Genomic DNA, 22,505 nt, shown 5'->3' with positions numbered 1-22,505 from the left:
TCTACCTACATTATTCAATTTGAAGTGACTTTTCTATAAGCAATATATAGTTGGGTCATGTTTCTTCATCCACTCTGCCAGTCTCTGTCTTTTGATTGGTATATTTAGTCCATTTACGTTCAAGTTAATTATCAATACATTAAGGCTTAAGTCCTCGGTCTTTTGTTCTTCTCTTCTTGCCTTCTTATAGGTCACTTGAACATTTTTTAGAGTCCTATATTAGGGTTCTCCAGAAAAACAGAACAAATTGGGTATATGGGAGAGGATTTATTAAGGAAATTGGCTCACACAATTACAGGAGCTGAGAAGTCCCACGACAGGCTATCTGCAAGCTGCAGAGCCAGGGAAGCCAATGGCACAGTGCAGGACAAGCCCAAAGCCTGAGAACCAAGGGAGCTGGTGGTGTAACTCAGTCTGAGGCCAAAGGTCCAAGAACCTGGGAGACTGCTCGTGCTAGTCCTGAAGTCTGAGGGCCAGAGAGCCTGGAGTTCCGATTTCCAAGGAGAGGAGAAGACAGGTGTCACAGCTCCAGAAGAGAAATGAGATTTGCCTTTTTGTTCTATCTACGCCCTCAAACAATTGGATGGTGGCCACCCATATTAGGCAGGGGTAATCTTTACTCAGTTCACTGATTCAGGTGCCAACCTCTTCTGGAAACACCCTCACAGATACACACAGAAAGAATACTTTACCTGCTATCTAGGTCCTCCTTAACCCAGTCAAGTTGATATGTAAAATTAATCATCACGGATTCCAGCTTGATTTGTTTATATTGTTTTTGAGTTTATCTTTTTGTATAGTTTTAAGTGATTACTTCAATTACTGCAATATAAACATACGGCTTATAATAATCTGCTTATTAGTAACAACATTTTACCACTTTGAACAAAGTGTGGAAACCTCACTTCCATTTAAGTCCTTTGTCTTGATTTAAATATCATCATCTTCAGTGTTAGATGGTTTTATATTTTTTATTCTATCATCAAATAGGACTGATGAAACTTGGGAGGAAAGGGGCAGTCTATTATTATTATTATTATTATTATTATTATTATTATTATTATTATTATTATCTTAAGACAGAGTTTCACTCTTATTGCCCAGGCTGGAGTGCAATGGCACAATCTCAGCTCACTGCAACCTCCCCCTCCCAGCTTCAAGCGATTCTCCTGCCGCAGTCTCCCAAGTGGCTGGGGTTACAGGCATCTGCCACCACACCTAGCTAATTTTTTTTTTTTTTTTTTTTTTAGTAGAGACGAGGTTTCACCATGTTGGTCAGGCTGGTGTTGAACTCCTGACCTCAGGTGATCCACCCACCTCGGCCTCCTAAAGTGTTGGGATTACAGGCGTTGGCACTGCACCCGGCCTGCGACAGTCTATTATTTTATGTACCCATATTTCTATTTTTCCATTGTTCCTTCTTCCTTCCTAATGCTCCAAGATTCCTTCTACTATCATTTCCTTTCGGCTTAAAGAACTTCCTTTAGCCAATTTTAAGGGTTGTTCTGCTAGCAACAAATTCTTTAGGTATCCATTATCTGAGAATGTTTCTATTTTCCTCTAGTTCCTGAGGCACAATTTCACCAGATACAGAAATTCACGATTGACAGTCCTTTTATTTCCGCACTTGAAAAATATCATGTCTTGTCCTTCTTCGTGTTTTCATACAGAAAATCTACTGTCATTTGAACTGGTGTTCCCTATAGGTAATGTAACATTTCAGATGGCCTCCATGTTTTCAGATGAGAAATCTACTGCCATTTGAATTGGTGTTCCCTATAGGTAATGCATCATTTCTCTCTGGCTGCTTTCAAGACTTTCTCTTCGCCTTTAGGTTTCAAGAGTTTAATTATAATGTATCTTGGTGTTTCACTGGGTTTATCCTGTACCAAGTTCGCATAGCTTCTTGGGTCCTTAGGTTTGTTTCTTTTGCCAAAGGTGGTAAGATTTCCACTATTATTTCTTTCAAACACTCTTTTAGACCTACTTACTCTCCCTTCCTCTGGAAATCCAATTACGTGAATATTAAGTCTTTTGTTATTGCCCCACAAGTCATTTTTTTTGCAGTTTGCTTTCTTCCAATATATTAAGTGAATTCTATAGTTCCTTCCTCAAGTTTACTGATTCTGTCACTGCCACTCTATTGAGCCGGTCCAGTAAGCATTTTTTTTCCTGTTGTTTTTCAGTTCTAAAATTTCCATTTTGGTGCTTTTTTATTTCATTTATTTAGTTTTAATTAATTTTATATGGCTCTTTGCTGAGATTTTTATATCTTTTGTTTCAGGATAATTTTAATTGATTTTGAAGCATTTTTATGATGGATGCTTTAAAATCCTTGTCAGAAAATTCCAACATCTGATTCATCTTGTATTGGTGACTGTTGATTGTCTTTTCTGATTCAATTTGTGGTTTCCTTTGTTGATGGTATGACAAGTGATTTGCTATTATATCATGAACATTTTGTCTATTATGTTAGAAGTCTCTAACATAGGCTTCTATTAAATCTTTTAACAGTTAGCCACCCTGTTTAGTTTTAGCACGAGTATCTTGGTCTACTTTTCTAGGCTATCGTTCCAATAGCAGACTAATTTACAGAGCCTTTGCAGTGTTATTTAGCCTGCTTTGTTTATCTAGTGCCTTTGAGCTCCCATTGGTCTCTGCTGGCACTGCCTGAGAGGGTAAAGAAGTTCCCTGAGCCAGGCTGCCAGTTGTCTCTTGGTGGAAGAGGGTGTGGTAGTCCTAGGTTACTCCTAGCTTCCCCAGTATCACTGGAGTGAAAAAGGCAAGCTTTGAACCCACAGAGACAAAGAGGTCTTCTGTAATGGGCCACTTGCTCTTGCCAGTTCCACCTACCTGCCCATATCTCTGGGTAGGAGAGAAAAGGCTCAGGCCCACATGGCCAAAGATCTCTCAGACCAGGCCATTTGCTGTGGCTATGTCCTTTTTGCAAGCAGTGCCCACCCTGGTGTCTCTGGGCTGAAGAGGAAAATCTCACATCCACAGGGAAGAAGAGTCTTCTCAAACTGGACTGCTAGCTATAGTTGGGTCTCTCTTACCAGTTCTGCCAACCTGCCTCAGTGGAAAAGGGACATCTCAGGACAGGCAAGGAAGGAATGTGCTTCCTCTCACCACTTATAGGGTTAAGATTAGGGCTAGAGTTCCCAACTGATCCCCTTTGTCAATGCTGTCGGCCTTGGCAGATGTTTTCGGGGGGACTTCCATTTGATTCAGGGGAGGAATGAGCCAACCTACCTAGCCTGCACTCTGTTGCTAGGTGGGAGGGTCAGGAAACACCGGGTCTAGGTGGATGGGAGGATGCAAGATGCTCTACGACTATGTTGTTCTTCCAATGCTGTGATCCCAAGTCAGTTCACTTTCTTCTTATAAACTTCAAGAATTCTCCTTTGGGTGTCTTTTGTACCAATTCCAAGATTTAGAGTTGTACTTAGCAGGGAAGAGCAGGAAAACTGAGTCTATACCATCTTATTTGTAATAAAAGCCTCCCTATGAGTCTGTTTCAATTATCTGTTTTCTCTCTTCATTTTCAGCCAATTTTTAAATTTTCAGGTCTTTTTTTAATTGAATTCCAGACTAAGTTGTATAACTATGTAAATATTTATTACATGTTGTAAAATATTATACATAGTAATTATAATAATAACTTGAGGCAATGCTTGATGCTGTCTTCCTCCACAGATTTACATTTGCTTCTAGCAAACAATAAAGCTAGGAGCAGACTCTTTAATCCAATCAGGGATTGAGGTAATGTGAAAGCTGGGCTTCAGCCTTTGTAAGAGCTGATCTATTTTGAGTTCACCCTTAAGCACAGGGTGTAGCCCATCCTTCAGGGTTCCCAACTAAAAGCCTGAGGTATTTTCCAGCGCCCCTTCTTTCTTTGCAGCCCCTGAAATCCAACTGTGTCCCCCGATGCTGCATAACCACCAAAACTCTGCTTAGAATCTCAGTCTCTCTGCCATTACTTTGTGCTCAATCTCTTAGCCGCACATCTCAAATCGGCCAGTCCCCCCAAGGGAAAAGCTGTACCAAAAGTTGGCCCTCGCCCCTGAGTTTACCTTCTCTCCAAAATTTTGGTCTCTCTAGTCCCTTTCTTTGCCTTGCTCACTTTCCAAAGCCTTCAAGCAGATTTTTAAAACAATATTTCCCAGCTTCTCTACTAGTTGTTCTCAGTTGGAGCACTGGCTTAGAAAAAGCTATTCTACCACTGATAGAAATGAAAATCTCCCTAGTAGCCTGTTTTGTGATATAAAAAGATGTCCCAGGATCATCTTATAGCATTCTTGACCCCAACATGAAATAAGCCATTTTTCTAAGGTACCCTAAGTTCCTTGTAGTGGGAATTAGTATTTACAGAACAGAGTCTGGCATTAGAAGTGCTCAATGCTACCTAGGTTGCTTTCTGGGATTTTCCAGCAGAGAAAAACAGAAAATACATTTTCAATAAAGAAAAAATACCATGAGTTCATACGGACATCTCCAACTCAAATTTATGGTCCCAATATCCTTAATCAACAACTTCTCTGTTTCTACCTTTGTATCTCCTCTTTTCCACACCAAAATCCAGAGCACCAATCCAATATAATTATCCATTTGTTTTACTTAACAATGCATGCTTCCAGAACAATACCAATAATACCAGTTATACGATTACTAAAAACAGTTTACAATATTTTTGCAGTTCTTTGTCCTTGAGGATATGTCCCTCTAGAAATGTATAATCAAATTACTATGTTTCAAAGTCATTTGAAAGATCATGTGCTTCAGCCTCAAACTTAATATACATTTAGTTATATATAACTAAATGTAAATATACGTTTAGTTATATATAACTTAATATACATTCACTTATTCCATATGCACTTGATTTTTATTTTTATTTTTTTAAATTTTTTTAAAAATTTATTATCATTATACTTTAAGTTTTAGGGTACATGTGCACAATGTGCAAGTTAGTTACATATGTATACATGTGCCATGCTGGTGCGCTGCACCCACTAACTCGTCATCTAGCATTAGGTATGTCTCCCAATGCTATCCCTCCCCCCTCCCCCCACCCCACAACAGTCCCCAGAGTGTGATGTTCCCCTTCCTGTGTACATGAGTTCTCACTGTTCAATTCCCACCTATGAGTGAGAATATGCAGTGTTTGGTTTTTTGTTCTTGCGATAGTTTACTGAGAATGATGATTTCCAATTTCATCCATGTCCCTACAAAGGACATGAACTCATCATTTTTTATGGCTGCATAGTATTCCATGGTGTATATGTGCCACATTTTCTTAATCCAGTCTATCATTGTTGGACATTTGGGTTGGTTCCAAGTCTTTGCTATTGTGAATAGTGCCACTATAAACATACGTGTGCATGTGTCTTTATAGCAGCATGATTTATATAGTCCTTTGGGTATATACCCAGTAATGGGATGGCTGGGTCAAATGGTATTTCTAGTTCTAGATCCCTGAGGAATCACCATACTGACTTCCACAATGGTTGAACTAGTTTACAGTCCCATCAACAGTGTAAAAGCGTTCCTATTTCTCCACATCCTCTCCAGCACCTGTTGTTTCCTGACTTTTGAATGATTGCCATTCTAACTGGTGTGAGATGGTATCTCATTGTGGTTTTGATTTGCATTTCTCTGATGGCCAGGGATGGTGAGCATTTTTTCATGTGTTTTTTGGCTGCATAAATGTCTTCTTTTGAGAAGTGTCTGTTCATGTCCTTCGCCCACTTTTTGATGGGGTTGTTTGTTTTTCCTTGTAAATTTGTTTGAGTTCATTGTAGATTCTGGATATTAGCCCTTTGTCAGATGAGTAGGTTGCAAAAATTTTCTCCCATTTTGTAGGTTGCCTGTTCACTCTGATGGTAGTTTCTTTTGCTGTGCAGAAGCTCTTTAGTTTAATTAGATCCCATTTGTCAATTCTGGCTTTTGTTGCCATTGCTTTTGGTGTTTTAGAGATGAAGTCCTTGCCCATGCCTACGTCCTGAATGGTAATGCCTAGGTTTTCTTCTAGGGTTTTTATGGTTTTAGGTCTAACGTTTAAGTCTTTAATCCATCTTGAATTGATTTTTGTATAAGGTGTAAGGAAGGGATCCAGTTTCAGCTTTCTACATATGGCTAGCCAGTTTTCCCAGCACCATTTATTAAATAGGGAATCCTTTCCCCAATGCTTGTTTTTCTCAGGTTTGTCAAAGATCAGATAGTTGTAGATATGAGGTGTTATTTCTGAGGGCTCTGTTCTGTTCCATTGATCTATATCTCTGTTTTGGTACCAGTACCATGCTGTTTTGGTTACTGTAGCCTTGTAGTATAGTTTGAAGTCAGGTAGTGTGATGCCTACAGCTTTGTTCTTTTGGCTTAGGATTGACTTGGCGATGCGGGCTCTTTTTTGGTTCCATATGAACTTTAAAGTAGTTTTTTCCAATTCTGTGAAGAAAGTCATTGGTAGCTTGATGGGGATGGCACTGAATCTGTAAATTACCTTGGGCAGTATGGCCATTTTCACGATATTGATTCTTCCTACCCATGAGCATGGAATGTTCTTCCATTTGTTTGTATCCTCTTTTATTTCCTTGAGCAGTGGTTTGTAGTTCTCCTTGAAGAGGTCCTTCACTTCCCTTGTAAGTTGGATTCCTAGGTATTTTATTCTCTTTGAAGCAATTGTGAATGGGAGTTCACTCATGATTTGGCTCTCTGTTTGTCTGTTGTTGGTGTATAAGAATGCTTGTGATTTTTGTACATTGATTTTGTATCCTGAGACTTTGCTGAAGTTGCTTATCAGCTTAAGGAGATTTTGGGCTGAGACGATGGGGTTTTCTAGATATACAATCATGTCATCTGCAAACAGGGACAATTTGACTTCCTCTTTTCCTAATTGAATACCCTTTATTTCCTTCTCCTGCCTAATTGCCCTGGCCAGAACTTCCAACACTATGTTGAATAGGAGTGGTGAGAGAGGGCATCCCTGACTTGTGCCAGTTTTCAAAGGGAATGCTTCCAGTTTTTGCCTATTCAGTATGATATTAGCTGTGGGTTTGTCATAGATAGCTCTTATTATTTTGAAATACGTCCCATCAATACCTAATTTACTGAGAGTTTTTAGCATGAAGAGCTGTTGAATTTTGTCAAAGGCCTTTTCTGCATCTATTGAGATAATCATGTGGTTTTTGTCTTTGGTTCTGTTTATATGCTGGATTACATTTATTGATTTGCGTATATTGAACCAGCCTTGCATCCCAGGGATGAAGCCCACTTGATCATGGTGGATAAGCTTTTTGATGTGCTGCTGGATTCGCTTTGCCAGTATTTTATTGAGGATTTCTGCATCAATGTTTATCAAGGATATTGGTCTAAAATTCTCTTTTTTGGTTGTGTCTCTGCCTGGCTTTGGTATCAGGATGATGCTGGCCTCATAAAATGAGTTAGAGAGGATTCCCTCTTTTTCTATTGACTGGAATAGTTTCAGAAGGAATGGTACCAGTTCCTCCTTGTACCTCTGGTAGAATTCAGCTGTGAATTCATCTGGTCCTGGACTCTTTTTGGTTGGTAAGCTATTGATTATTGCCACAATTTCAGATCCTGTTATTGGTCTATTCAGAGATTCAACTTCTTCCTGGTTTAGTCTTGGGAGGGTGTATGTGTCGAGGAATTTATCCATTTGTTCTAGATTTTCTAGTTTATTTGCGTAGAGGTGTTTGTAGTATTCTCTGATGGTAGTTTGTATTTCTGTGGGATCGGTGGTGATATCCCCTTTATGATTTTTTATTGCGTCTATTTGATTCTTCTTTTTTTCTTTATTAGTCTTGCTAGCAGTTTATCAATTTTGTTGATGAAATGAATGAAATGAAGCGAGAAGGGAAGTTTAGAGAAAAAAGAATAAAAAGAAACGAGCAAAGCCTCCAAGAAATATGGGACTATGTGAAAAGACCAAGTCTACGTCTGATTGGTGTACCTGAAAGTGACGGGGAGAATGGAACCAAATTGGAAAACACTCTGCAGGATATTATCCAGGAGAACTTCCCCAATCTAGCAAGGCAGGCCAACATTCAGATTCAGGAAATACAGAGAACGCCACAAAGATACTCCTCGAAAAGAGCAACTCCAAGACACATAATTGTCAGATTCACCAAAGTTGAAATGAAGGAAAAAATGTTAAGGGCAGCCAGAGAGAAAGGTCGGGTTACCCACAAAGGGAAGCCCATCAGACTAACAGCTGATCTCTCAGCAGAAACTCTACAAGCCAGAAGAGAGTGGGGGCCAATATTCAACAATCTTAAAGAAAAGAATTTTCAATCCAGAATTTCATATCCAGCCAAACTAAGCTTCATAAGTGAAGGAGAAATAAAATCCTTCACAGACAAGCAAATGCTGAGAGATTCTGTCACCACCAGGCCTGCCCTAAAAGAGCTCCTGAAGGAAGTGCTAAACATGGAAAGGAACAACCGGTACCAGCCGCTGCAAAATCATGCCAAAATGTAAAGACCATCGAGACTAGGAAGAAACTGCATCAACTAACGAGCAAAATAACCAGCTAACATCATAATGACAGGATCAAATTCACACATAACAATATTAACTTTAAATGTAAATGGACTAAATGCTCCAATTAAAAGACACAGACTGGCAAATTGGATAAAGAGTCAAGACCCATCAGTGTGCTGTATTCAGGAAACCCATCTCACGTGCAGAGACACACATAGGCTCAAAATAAAAGGATGGTGGAAGATCTACCAAGCAAATGGAAAACAATAAAAGGCAGGGGTTGCAATCCTAGTCTCTGATAAAACAGACTTTAAACCAACAAAGATCAAAAGAGACAAAGAAGGCCATTACATAATGGTAAAGGGATCAATTCAACAAGAAGAGCTAACTATCCTAAATATATATGCACCCAATACAGGAGCACCCAGATTCATAAAGCAAGTCCTGAGCGACCTACAAAGAGACTTAGACTCCCACACATTAATAATGGGAGACTTTAACACCCCACTGTCAACATTAGACCAACATTAGATCAACGAGACAGAAAGTCAACAAGGATACACAGGAATTGAACTCAGCTCTGCACCAAGCGGACCTAATAGACATCTACAGAACTCTCTACCCCAAATCAACAGAATATACATTTTTTTCCAGCACCACACCACACCTATTCCAAAATTGACCACATACTTGGAAGTAAAGCTCTCCTCAGCAAATGTAAAAGAACAGAAATTATAACAAACTATCTCTCAGACCACAGTGCAATCAAACTAGAACTCCAGGATTAAGACTCTCACTCAAAACTGCTCAACTACATGGAAACTGAACAACCTGCTCCTGAATGACTACTGGGTACATAACGAAATGAAGGCAGAAATAAAGATGTTCTTTGAAACCAACGAGAACAAAGACACAACATACCAGAATCTCTGGGACACATTCAAAGCAGTGTGTAGAGGGAAATTTATAGCACTAAATGCCCACAAGAGAAAGCAGGAAAGATCCAAAATTGACACCCTAACATCACAATTAAAAGAACTAGAAAAGCAAGAGCAAACACATTCAAAAGCTAGCAGAAGGCAAGAAATAACTAAAATCAGAGCAGAACTGAAGGAAATAGAGACACAAAAAACCCTTCAAAAAATTAATGAATCCAGGAGCTGGTTTTTTGAAAGGATGCACTTGATTTTTAGAGATTGCCTTTTTCTCTCATTTTAATTTATTTTTATTTTATAATATGGTAAAGCATTGGCATGGTTCTAAATGTAATCCACAAAATAAAGTACATTCAGAAGTCTAGCCTCCATCCCTGTTTTATCCACCCCATTCTCTCTCTCTCCTTAATCATTTTTATTAGTTTTTGGTTTATCATTCCATTGGTGTGTTTATATATATGCACAAAAATATATATTTATAGATTTATAGATCCCCTTTCTTTAAAAAATGACAGTGTACAATACCACTGTTCTGCTACAGTGGGTTTTGTTTTTTTTTTCATTTAACAATATATTCTCCCCCACAGTAGTACATAGCTATTCCTCCTTCCCTTTTATAGCTACATAGTACTCTGCTCTGTGAACAAGTCATATTTTATTTAACCAGCCCTCTAATGATACAAGCCCAGACTGAACTGCTATTGAATTTTGTTTTATAGTTTAAATTCACATGAAAATTCAAATGGTTTCACTGTGATGACCAAATCGCTAACCTGCTGGTATTCTGGCCTTTGCTTTAACAGCTTTAAACAAAAAGGTTAACTAAATAAGCAAGACACAAAATATGCTAACAAAGCCCCTACCCAAACCCCTGATACAGGGTTCTCAGATTAACATCAAAATATCCACAAAGCTTTAAAAAATACAGATGATGTGGCCCTAACACAAACCCCTCTTGAGTGGAATCCAGCACTGCATTGGTGTCCTTAAAAGCTCCACAAATGATTCTAATACACCAAACCAATAACAAACTTTCCATATATGATCTTGTAATTTCTAAGTGTTAAAGTAAGTGACTTAAATTTTTGGCACCAATACTAAAAATATTTCTGCATTCCAAAGTTTCGTCTCTATCAGAAAATTTTGATCTAATTTCTTAAATTCGAAAGAAATACAAAGAAAAAGATTCATCATGAATATTGACTCATACTATGATCTAAAATGTAAAATATTAAGCATTTGTCCTAATTATTAAAAATAATAATAAAGCTACAACCATTATAAATGATATAACATTATAAATGAATTCTATATGTTTTAATATTTAGGACATTCTACTATACCCATCCACAAGGATAATTAAAACAACCATAATATGGCTCCCTCATATTTTTAAACAATAATAAATCATCAACCTTGAAAGACTCAATAAAAGCAATGGACAAGTCCTTTGCTCAAATCCTGGGCTGTCCCTGAAATTGTCCTGGCTAGATCAAGGTCTCCATGATACTCCTACAGGTAATTACATCTGCATCCGTGGCTTCATCTACCATCTCTATGTTGCTAACTGCCCAAGCTGTATTTCCAGCTCAAGGCTAGACCCATGTTTCAGACTTATATTCCCTATATCAAAAATTTAAGTCATTAAATCCCCTTCTTTTATGCTTTCTTTAAACAACTTTGTCATCTACCCTATCTTCCAAAAATTATTGACTCTTTCTTTACCTTCACCTCCATTCATTCAGCCTACAAACCAATCTCATCTTTTTCCCTCTTTGATCCCCTTGCTAAGGCCAATGCTCTAATTCAAATTCTCCTCCTCCTAGTCTAGTCTACTGCAACAGTCTCTTAACTGTGGCTCAGTCCAGCTCCCCCGTCTGGACAGTTCTTTGCAGAGCCACCTGTCATCTTCTTTATAATGTTACCAAGGGCAATCTGATCATGTCAAAACTTGCCTGGAAACCTCTGCATGCCTTAGCACAACATGCAAGGTCTGTGACAATCCAACCCCAACTTACCCCTACTGCTCCATCACTAGCCACTGCTCCCCAGACTGAGCAGACCATATTGTGGCAATATTGACTATGTATTTCTTCCTCAACTCACCTGCATTAAGTCTTCGTGGCTCAGCACAGCCTGACTTCTCTGTCTAGAATAACTTATTTTTTCCTAACCAACCTTTCAGATCTCACTTCAAATGTCCCTTGGAGCTCTGGGAACCTGTGCCCCAAGTTTTCAGTGCTGAGCTAATTAATGCCTTCTCCGTGGTAAACTTATCATGTGGTTTGATTATTACTGTTATAGAGAATAATCTCTGCCCACTACACTACCAAGACTTTCTCAAGAACATATCTCATTCACCTCTTTTTCGCCAGTGCCTAAAACATCATAGATATTCATGTAACATTTGTTGCCTAATAAATAACAGTATCAACTCTAACACAGTTTTGCAACAACAAAAATTTTCAAGCTCTTATTAAGAGCAAAGTTTACTATAAAGGAAGTCCAGAACAATCTCGTGTGTATCCATGACAGTATGGGAAAAGAAAAAAACATTTCAGAAGCTAAAGAACTGCAGGTGGACCTTTCTTTCAAAGACATCTGAACACTGACTCTATCCCCTCAGATGAATAGGTGCCGTGTGGATGCCTAGCTTGGTTCAAGAACAAAGAAAGTCCATTGGTTTACAGCAGCCATATACAGGTTGTTCATGTTTTTCTAAATAAAAACTCAGGCTAGCCAGACTGGCTCATGCCTGTAATCCCAGCACTTTGGGAGGCTGAGCTGGGAGGATCGCTTGAGGCCAGGAGCTTGAGACCAGCCTAGGCAACACTGTGAGACCCTATCTCTACAAAAAAATAAAAATAGGTTGGGCACAGTGACTCACACCTGTAATCCCAAACACTATGGGAGGCCGATGCAGATGGATCGCTTGAGGCTAGTAGTTCAAAACTAGCCTAGGCATCATCGTGAGACCCCATCTCTACCAAAAAAAAAAAAAAAATTTAGCCAGGTGTGGTATGGCACACACCTGCAGTCCTAGCTACTCAGGAGGCTGAGGTGGAAGGATTATCTGAGTTCAGGAAGTCAAGGCTGCAGTGAGCTATAGATCATGCCACTGCACTCCAGCCTGGTGGCAGAGTGAGAACCTGTCTCTAAAAAAATTTTTTTTAATTATACACACACACACACACACACACACACAAACAAACGTACCTACATATGTATATATATTATATATATTAAATTATATATAATATATAATCTATAATACATATATAATTATATATTTTATATAATTATAGATAATATACAATTATATTTTACATAATTATAGATAATTATATATTATCTATATAGTATATTATATTATATATACATAAATAAATAATATATACCCACATATATATGTATTTATATATATTAGTTATGTGTGTGTGTGTGTGTGTGTGCGTGCGCACGCGCGCGCGCGCCTCTCTCTCTCTCTCTCTCCCTTTCTATTTCTCTCTCTCTCTGGACAGTACAGCAGCAAAAACTGAGTTCCAGAACCAACAAAATTCAACCCTGATCTTATGGCAGAATTATCTCTTCCCATTCAACTACAGTCCACCCGAAATGATAAAATAGCTTCTCCCATGCGCAAAACGTTGGTATGAGTTTTGTTAGTTTCTTCCTGTACTTGATATCCCATTCATCACATGTATGAACAATTTATGATATAACTGCCATCAAAGACTTCCTTAGGTGTATTCCTTCATCTCCATTCCCACTCTACCCCAAGCTCAAAAACAATTCATGGTAGTCTTATTGCTAACACCTCTGGCTACCTTCAGCAGCTTCTGAGACCACAAAGCCTACTAAGCACCCTACAGCAGAACAACATTCCTAAAGCACCAATGTCACCATGTCACTACCCTTGTCAATATTTAGAATAACTCTGCACAGACTGTGGAATGAAGTCTGAACTCCTCCTGTTCCTGACATTCTAACTATTAAGAATGTCAATCCTTCTCCTCTCACCTGCGAAGCCAATTCTCATGGTCCCCCAGACACTCAGTGCCCACTCCTACCTCTCTTGTGCTTTTGCTCCTACCATATTCCCCTCCCTGCCCAGAGAACGGATACACACACACACACACACACACACACACACACACACTCCCCTATCTAGAATATGCTCTCAACCCTTCTTGTATATTCAACAACCAGAATCTCTCACAGGGCCCTGAATATTAGGCAAAAATAAGCACAAATAAGGCTTACATTCAACCTGTTGGCTATCAGGTCTCTGTAACTATAATCTCTTTGAAAGAGTCCACGTAAATATATAGCAATGAAAGAAAAGAAAAGGCAATGGGCAAGATAAAGAAAAGAAGTTTAAGGATCCTGATATTTAACTCCACTCCTCTTAGCCATCTGATACCTTTTATTTGCATACAACCTTACACTTTCCAGAAATTTTTTATGGTTATTTAAGACTACAAAGACCTACACAATCTTGCTTCTACCCACAAATGAAGAAAAAAGAATACCAGCAGATACTTAGATAAGTTTTGGGGGTTGAACAGACAAGATTTAATAATAGTTTGCAAGTGAGTAAATGGGAATAAAGAAAACACCCAGGTTTCTAGCCTGAGTGGTCTCATACAAATGCTAAGAAAACTGAGGGTCAAACAGGCTTGGAATAAAAATCAAAAGTTCAATGTTACAGTATTCAAAGTCCCCAGACTGAGAAGAACATCTGAGTTTCAGGTACAGATACAGAAGACGATTGAGTGCAGATGCACAGCAAGTACCCAGAAGAACTCTAACTTTTAGAAGCCAGAAGAAGACAAAGTCTGCAAATGAGCAGTCAGTCAAGCATGGCAAAAAAGAGAGAGAGCATGGAGTCCCAGAAATCCAGAAGCAAGTTTTCAAAAAGGAAGCAGTGAAACGTTATGAAGTTTAGTAAGACAAGGCCAGAGAATTAACCACTGGATTTGACAAGCTGTGGACACTGCTGCCCCTATGATCTCTAGCAGCCATAAGTTAATGAGAAAATTGGAAGTGAGGAAGTAGGAGATGTTAACAAGAGAACAATTTCATTTGCAGGAGTTTTGTTGTAAAATGAAACACAGAAATGAGGCCACATTTGGAGAAGACACGGGGGATCAAAGAAGGGTTTTTTTTGATTTTTTTCCCCCAGAGAGCTAATAATCTGCAGATAATTATTAGAATCAATAAAATACTTTAGGAAAGGTGCAAAAAGTCCACTGCATTTCCTTTAACCAGCAGCAAACAACTAATCATAAAATTTTTAAGAGAGGCTGCGGCTAAAGGAAGATGGAGACAATACTGGAGCAGCAGCGGCGCTATCATGAGGAGAAGGAAAGGCTCATGGACGTCATGGCCAAAGAGATGCTCACTAAGAAGTCCACGCTCAATTCTGATCACCGCACTCAGGCCATGCAAGATAGGTATATGGAGGTCAGTGGGAACCTGAGGGATCTGTATGATGATAAAGATGGATTATGAAAGGAGGAACTCAATGCCATTTCAGGACCCAGTGAGTTTGCTGAATTCTATAATAGACTCGAGTAAATAAAGGAATTCCACCAGAAGCACCCAAATGAGATCTGTGTGCCAATGTCAGTGAAATTTGAGGAGCTCCTGAAGGCTCAGAGAATCCAAGTGAAGAGGCACAAAACTTGGTGGAGTTCACAGATGAAGAGGGATATGGTCGTTACCTCGATCTCCGTGACTGTTACCTCAAGTACATTAACGTGAAGGCATCTGAGAAGCTGGATTATATCACATACCTGTCCATCTCTGACCAATTATTTGACATTCCTAAAGAAAGGAAGAATGCAGAGTATAAGAGATACCTAGAGATGCTGCTTGAGTAACTTCAGGATTACACAGATAGAGTAAAGCCTCTCCAAGATCAGAATGAACTTTTTGGGAAGATTCAGGCTGAGTTTGAGAAGAAATGGGAGAATGTGACCTTCCTGGATGGGCGAAAGAGACAAGCAGCGCTCTGACCCATGCTGGAGCCCATCTTGACCTCTCCGCCTTCTCCTCCTGGGAGGAGTTGGCCTCTCTGGGTTTGGACAGATTGAAATCTGCTCTCTTAGCTTTAGGCTTGAAATGTGGCGGACCGTAGAAGAGCAAGCCCAGAGACTATTCAGTACCAAAGGAAAGTCCCTGGAGTCACTTGATAACTCTTTGTTTGCCAAAAATCCCAAATCAAAGGGCACCAAGCGAGACATTGAGAGAACAAAGACATTGCTTTTCTAGAAGCCCAGATCTATGAATACTCTGACTCTCAGGGAACAGCAACATCTCACTCATGAAAATGCACAGTGCAAGCAAGCAAGGACAGGAGAAGAGCAAGAAGAGCAGATCAGTAAGAGTGAGAGTGAAGATGAAAAGAACGAGATCATTTACAACCCCAAAAACCTGCCACTTGGCTGGGATGGCAAACGCATTCCCTACTGGCTATATAAGCTTCATGGCCTAAATATCAACTATAACTGTGAGATTTGTGGAAACTACACCTACCAAGGGCGCAAAGCCTTCCAGTGACACTTTGCTGAATAGCATCATGCTCATGGCATGAGGTGTTTGGGCATCCCAAACACTGCTCACTTTGCTAATGTGACGCAGATTGAAGATGCTGTCTCCTTGTGGGCCAAATTCAAATTGCAGAAGGCTTCAGAATGATGGCAGCCTGACACTGGAGGAAGAATATGAAGACTCAAGTGGGAATGTTGTGAATAAGAAGACATATGAGGATCTGAAAAGACAAGGACTGCTCTAGTGCTCAGGGATGTAGCTCAGCTTTTGGGCTAGCCCAGGCTTCCCTGAGATCTGTTTTTTCTATTTCTCCCAACCAAATTCTCTTAAAGACCCTTTGCTACGTAGTCTCATGGTCTAGCATGCATCCTGTAGAAACAAGGCATGCTGGCAGATTGCAGGGCTGAGATGTGTTTTATCTGTTTTATATTTTAAAAGATTCTGCCAGAAAATAAAACCAGACCTTGTTCAAAAAAAAATTTAAAGATACAATTTACAAAAGTATAAAAAACATCAAATATCTGTGGCTCACACCTGTAATGCCAGCACATTGGGAGGCCGAGGCAAGCAGATCACTTGAGGTCAGGAGTTCAAGACCAACCTGGCCAACATGGTGAAACCCCATCTCTAATAAAAATACAAAAATTAGTCTGGCATGGTGGCGCACAACCGTAATCCCAGCTACTTGGGAGGCTGAGGCAGGAGAATTGCTTGAACCCAGGAGGCGGAGGTTGCAGTGAGCCAAGATCACGCCACTGCACTCCAGCCTGGGCAACAGAGTGAGACTCCGTCTCAAAAAACAAACAAACAAACAAACAAACAAACATCAAATATCTTGGAAAGAGATCTACAAGACCTCTGCATAGAAAATTATAAAGCATTAAGACAAATTAGAAAAGATTTAAATAAATAAAGGTATATACCATGTTTGTGGTTCGGAAGACTCAACATTATAAAAGCTGTCAATTCACTCCAAACTGAGTTATAGGTTCATTACCAACCTAATCATATTCTCAAGATATTCTTCTTGTCAAAAATGAACAAGGTGATTCTAAAATCTATATGGAAATGCCATGGACCAAGAAGAGCCAAAATAAACCTGAAAAAGAACAAGAATAAGGTAAGGTGACTTAACATAAATCCATACTAATTAAGATAGTGCAGTATTACTGGCATAAGGATAGACAAACGGACCAAAGGAATAGAACAGAAAGTCCAGAAACAGATCATATATACATAAACACCTGATTGATAACAGACGCAGCACTACAGAGCACTGGGAAAAGAAAGGTCTTCTCAAAAAATGGGATTGGATATGCATAAAGCAAATAAATGTGGCTCTAATAAATGTGAATCTGAATATGCATAAAGCAAATAAATGTGTCTCTAACCTCGCACCACACACACACACTCTTTCTCTAGGTGGACTGTAGATTTAAGTGTGAAAGACAAAACAATGAAATGTCCAGAAGACAATACAGAAGAATATCTCCACGATCTTGGAATAGGGAAAGATTTCAACAAGACACAAAAAGGGAAAAAAATCAATACATTTCACTACGTTAAAATCAAGAAGTAAATGCAATCTGCAATATAACATCATTTTAACTGCCAGCTGAACCTGAAAAAAAGTAAGAGAAATCAGTAAAGGCCAAAAATAGAGACCTGAAAATCAGAGCAGGGAACATGTTAGCCAACTCCATAGTGTCCTGTGAGAGGCTGTCAATCCCCATGATCCAAGAGCATATCATCTTCTATAAAATAATCTGGATCTAAATGCTCAAAAGGAAGACACTGAGGCCTAGGTCCATGTAAGGCAGGGAATTGGAACCGAGAGCCCTTCAAGAAGGGTGGAACCCTTAAAGAGCTTTTAAAAACCAAACCCAGCTCTTAGGCACAGAAAAGCAACAAGAAAGCAGTTTCAGCATGGACCAAGGCAGGGGAAAATCCCTCCCAATGACTTCATAACGAGTCCCACACCCATTTGAGTTCTAATACATACCACCCTCACTTGGGTTCTAGGTACCCATAAGAAAATAAAATTAACATAGAAAGTAGCCCCAGGTCAGAATACCCCCAAAGATATCTAGAAGAAGTAATCACAAACTCTCTCTAGAGACATATGTCCATTGATAAAGTCTCACTGAAGAGGAACTCAAATTTTTGACAAAATTGAAGCAATGTACCATGAACAAAAATCAGCAAACTAACAACAGCATTAGACCCTATAAAGTTCAGTTACTAGAACAATCCAATAAAGAACATAAAATAAATTTAACTTTGGGAGGCCAACGCGGGTGGATCACAAGATCAGGAGTTCAAGACCAGCCTGGCCAAGATGGTGAAACCCTGTCTCTACTAAAAATACAAAAATTAGCTGGGTGTGGTGGCACGCATCTGTAATCCCAGCTACTCGCGAGGCTAAGGTAGAGAACTGCTTAAACCTGGGAGGCGGAGGTTGCAGTGAGCCGAGATCATGCCACTGCACTCCAGCCTGGGCAACAAGAAGACTCGGTCTCAAAAAATTAATTAATTAATTAAAATTGCTTAAAGGCACAATAGGATCAAAAGTATCAAAAAATAACACTATGAAAATAAGCAGCCAGTTTTATTAATAAAAGATAAAACCTCTAGAAATTAAAAATACAGTCACTGAAAATGAAAATTTAACAAGTTACACCACAAATTAGATACAGTTAAAGTGAGAATTTGTGAACTAGAGAACAGATCTGAGGAAATTATCCTGAATGCAACAGAGGGAAATAGATAAAAATTATGAGAAGTAGAAAGTAAACAGAATAAAAAGAATAGGCAACATGTGTCTGTCTAAAAGTCGTACTAAGAGATAATAACAAATAAAATGTAAAGGAAGCTTTCAAAAGATAATACCTGAGAATTTCCCAGAAATGATAACAGACTTGAATCCTCAGATAAAGAATGCACATACACTGAGCAAAATAAAAATAAATCCACATTTGGGCACATCATAGTAATACTACGTTAATACAATCAACCAAAAGAGAAAGGGAAAGAAAAAAATAACAGAGATAGACTATGAGTAAAAGCAAGAGCACTTATAAAAAACCAGAATGGTTTGGTGTGGTGGCTCACACCTGTAATCCCAGCACTTTGGGAGGCCAAGGCGGACAGATTACTTGAGGCCAGGAATTCGAGACAACAGTGAAACCCCATATCTACTAAAAATAAAAAAGTGGCACACAACTGTAATTTCAACTACTCAGGAAGGTGAAGCACCAGAATCGCTTGAACTCGGGAAACAGAGGTTGCAGTGAGTCAAGATCACACCACTGCAATCCAGCATGAGTGAAAGAGCAAGACTCTGTCTCAAAAAAATAAAAATAAAAATAAAAAGGAAAAAAAGAAAAAGGAAAAGAAAAACAACCAGAAGGAAACAAAATGGCACCTGAGATTTACTTCAAAATAATCTATGCTGGCTGGTGGGAGGAGGGGAAGGCATGGGAATGGGGCAGTGGTAAAAGTGAAAAAGACTGGCTATGAGTTGCAAATGTTGAAGCTGGTGACAGACACGTCACACTTGTTATACCTTCCATTTTTGTTTATTTGAAATTTTCCAGAGTAAGAAGCTAAAAAAGAGAGAAAGAAAAAAAATTACCTATGAATGAATTAGACTGACAGCTGACTTTGAAACATCAGTAATAAAAATCAGAAGACATTGGAAAAAAACATTCAAATTGCTCAAAGAAAATAATGATCAATCTTAAATTCCAGACCCAGCTATATGAGCATTCAAGGGTGAAGACAAAATAAAACAACAGACAAAATCTGACATGCTTGCCAAAAGAAAAGCTCACAAGCACAGTTCAAAAATTCAGGCTGGGCGGGGTGGCTTATGCCTGTAATCCCAGCACTTTGGGAGGCTGAGGCAGGAGGATTATGAGGTCAGGAGTTTGAGACCAGCCTGACCGACATGGTGAAACCCCGTCTCTACTAAAAATACAAAAATAAGCCAGGCATGGTGGCAGGCACCTGTAATCCCAGCTACTTGGGAGGCTGAGGCAGGAGAATTGCTTGAACCCAGGAGGCAGAGGTTGCAGTGAGCCAAGATCGCACCATTGCACTCCAGCCTGGACGACAGGGCAAGACTCCAACTCAAAAAAAAAAAAAAAAAAAAAAAAAAAAACCTCAAAAAAATGTATTGGCAAACCAAATCTAAAAATCTGTATTAAAAAACATATCATGGCCAAAATGGGTTCAACTCAGGAATACAAAGATGGTCTAACAATTAAAAAGTATGTAAGTGTAATTTACCACATTAACAGATGAAAAGACAAAAATCAATATAATCACAGGCCACCTTCTATGTGCAGGGAACTATTCCATAGGATTCTTTTTAAAGTCAGGATCAAGACCATTCAACAATGTCCTACATTGATAATATTCAACAACATGAACTAGCTCATTAATTACACAAGAAAAAGAAAGAAGGTGTATACAGTTTAGAAGTAAACTGTCACAACTTATTGGCAGCATGACTATCAACATGGGGAACAGGAGAATCCACACACAAGCTACCAGTACTACAAGAGCTTAGGAAGGATTCATAGATATAAAAATTCAAAATACGAGGAAATAAATTCTGCCTTTGCACTTCTGCCATCACCATGATGGTGAGGCTCAGCCAGCCTCTGGTACAAAGAGATGTGACAGCTGTGACACCCCCATCCCCACCAGCTGAGCCCAGTCAACCTCCTGCCTAGATCCAGACAGGTGAATAAGTTTACCAGACTTCAGAGAGGTGCCCAGATAAATACAGATACTCATGAGCTAAATATTACTCAGTGCAATAATAATAATAATAATAATAATAATAATAATAATAATTTTAAAATCCATTCCTAGGTACTATAGTAATCAATTAGTTTCTAGTAATAACAAAATTCTCTATCGAGTAGTAAATCTAATAAAAGTGTGTCAGATCATTTGAAAAAAGCTATAAGAATTTACTGAAAGATATGAGACCTAAACTGGAAATATAAAGCATCTTTCCAGAAGGATGCGAAGGATGGAAAGACCCTCTATAATAAAGATGACAGATTTCCCCAGGCTTATCTCAACATCAGGTGAAATTCCAACAAAATATCAACAGGGATTTTTGTTGAAATTAGGGGAGCCAAGAGTTAAGAACAATCAAGACAAGTCTGAAGTTTTAAATGATTATAGCACAATTCAATACAAACGGGGAGCAGGGGCAAAACTGTTCTATAAATGGAACTGCAACAACCGCTTACCATATAAAGATAATTAAATTAGGTCAATATAACAAATCATTCACAGAAACAAGTTACAGGTGGATAAAAGATCAGAATGGAATAAAGCAAAAATTTTAAATTTTGAGGAAGTAAAATATAGAAGAGTATATTTACAAGGTCAGTACAGGAAAGGAATTTTATAATATAACACAAAAAGGACAAGCCATAAAGGAAAAGAATAATAACATTTACTACATGTGGGTTTTGGTTTCTTTGTTGTTTTTTTTTTTTTAAAGACAAGGTCCCTCTCTGTCATCCAGGATAGAATGCAGTAGTGTGATCTTAGCTCACTGCAGCCTCAAACTGCTGGGCTCAAGTGACCCTCCCACCTCAACTTCCCAAGTAGCTAAGACTACAGTTATGTGCTATCATGCCCTGCAAATTTTTAAATTTTTTTATAGAGATGGGGTCTCCCTATGTTGCCCAGACTGGTCTCAAACTCCTGGGCTTAAGCAATCCTCTCACCTCAGCCTCCCAAAGTGCTGGGATTATGGTGTGAGTCATCATGCCCGGCCTCATGTATTTTTTAAAATGAGAAAGGTTATTAAACTGCTATGGAATTTGGATTCTACTCAATAAATATTTTTAAAGTAATACTGTATAATGGGGAATTTTTTCAGCAGCTCTATTTATAATATACAGAAATTGTATCTCTTCAACTCTATAAATCTGTTTTTTTTTGAAAAATAATATGTGTCAACTGCATGTCAACCTGAAAGCAAGGAAGTAAAAAGAATTTCAGTTATTTTGGAGGTGTTTCAAAAGACTGAAGATCACTACCCTAGAGAAAAATCACACATGTATGCAAAAAGAGATAGGTAAAGAATGCTAATTGGGCCGGGCATGGTGGCTCACACCTGCAATCCCAGCACTCTGAGAGCCCCAGGCAGGCAAATTGCTTAGGCCAGGAGTTCAAGATCAGCCCGGGCAACATAGTGAAGCCTGGTCTCTACTAAAAACACAAAAAATTAGCTGGGTGTGGTGGCACATGCCTGTAGTCTCAGCTATTCCAGAGGCTGAGGTGGGAGGATCACCTAAGCCCTGAAGGTCAGGGCTGCAGTGAGCGGTGATTACATCACTGCACTCTAGCCTGGTTCATAGAGTGAGACCCTGTCACAAAAAAAAAGAATGTAATTGTAGTACTATTTGTAACAGCAAAAGTTGGAAAACTCTAAATGCCCATCAGCAGGAAAATGGGTAAGTAAACTGGAATCCTTCTGTAATT

The 22,505-nt window shown here is 38.9% G+C and overlaps 1 protein-coding gene and 1 pseudogene across 4 annotated transcripts in view; one reads left to right on the top strand and one right to left on the bottom strand.

Annotated features, from left to right (window-relative positions):
• ATRN (attractin) overlaps positions 1–22,505 on the bottom strand; it is a 180,101-nt gene that overhangs the window by 145,357 nt on the left and 12,239 nt on the right. The gene's annotated exons all lie outside the window — the stretch shown is intronic.
• On the top strand, positions 14,735–16,463 carry SF3A3P1 (splicing factor 3a, subunit 3 pseudogene 1; annotated as a pseudogene).

This window comes from Homo sapiens, chromosome 20, assembly GCF_000001405.40.
Source record: "Homo sapiens chromosome 20, GRCh38.p14 Primary Assembly".
Lineage (NCBI taxonomy): Eukaryota > Metazoa > Chordata > Mammalia > Primates > Hominidae > Homo > Homo sapiens.
The sequence above is the reverse complement of the archived record's forward strand: the minus strand, read 5'-3'. Positions and strand labels throughout refer to the sequence as shown.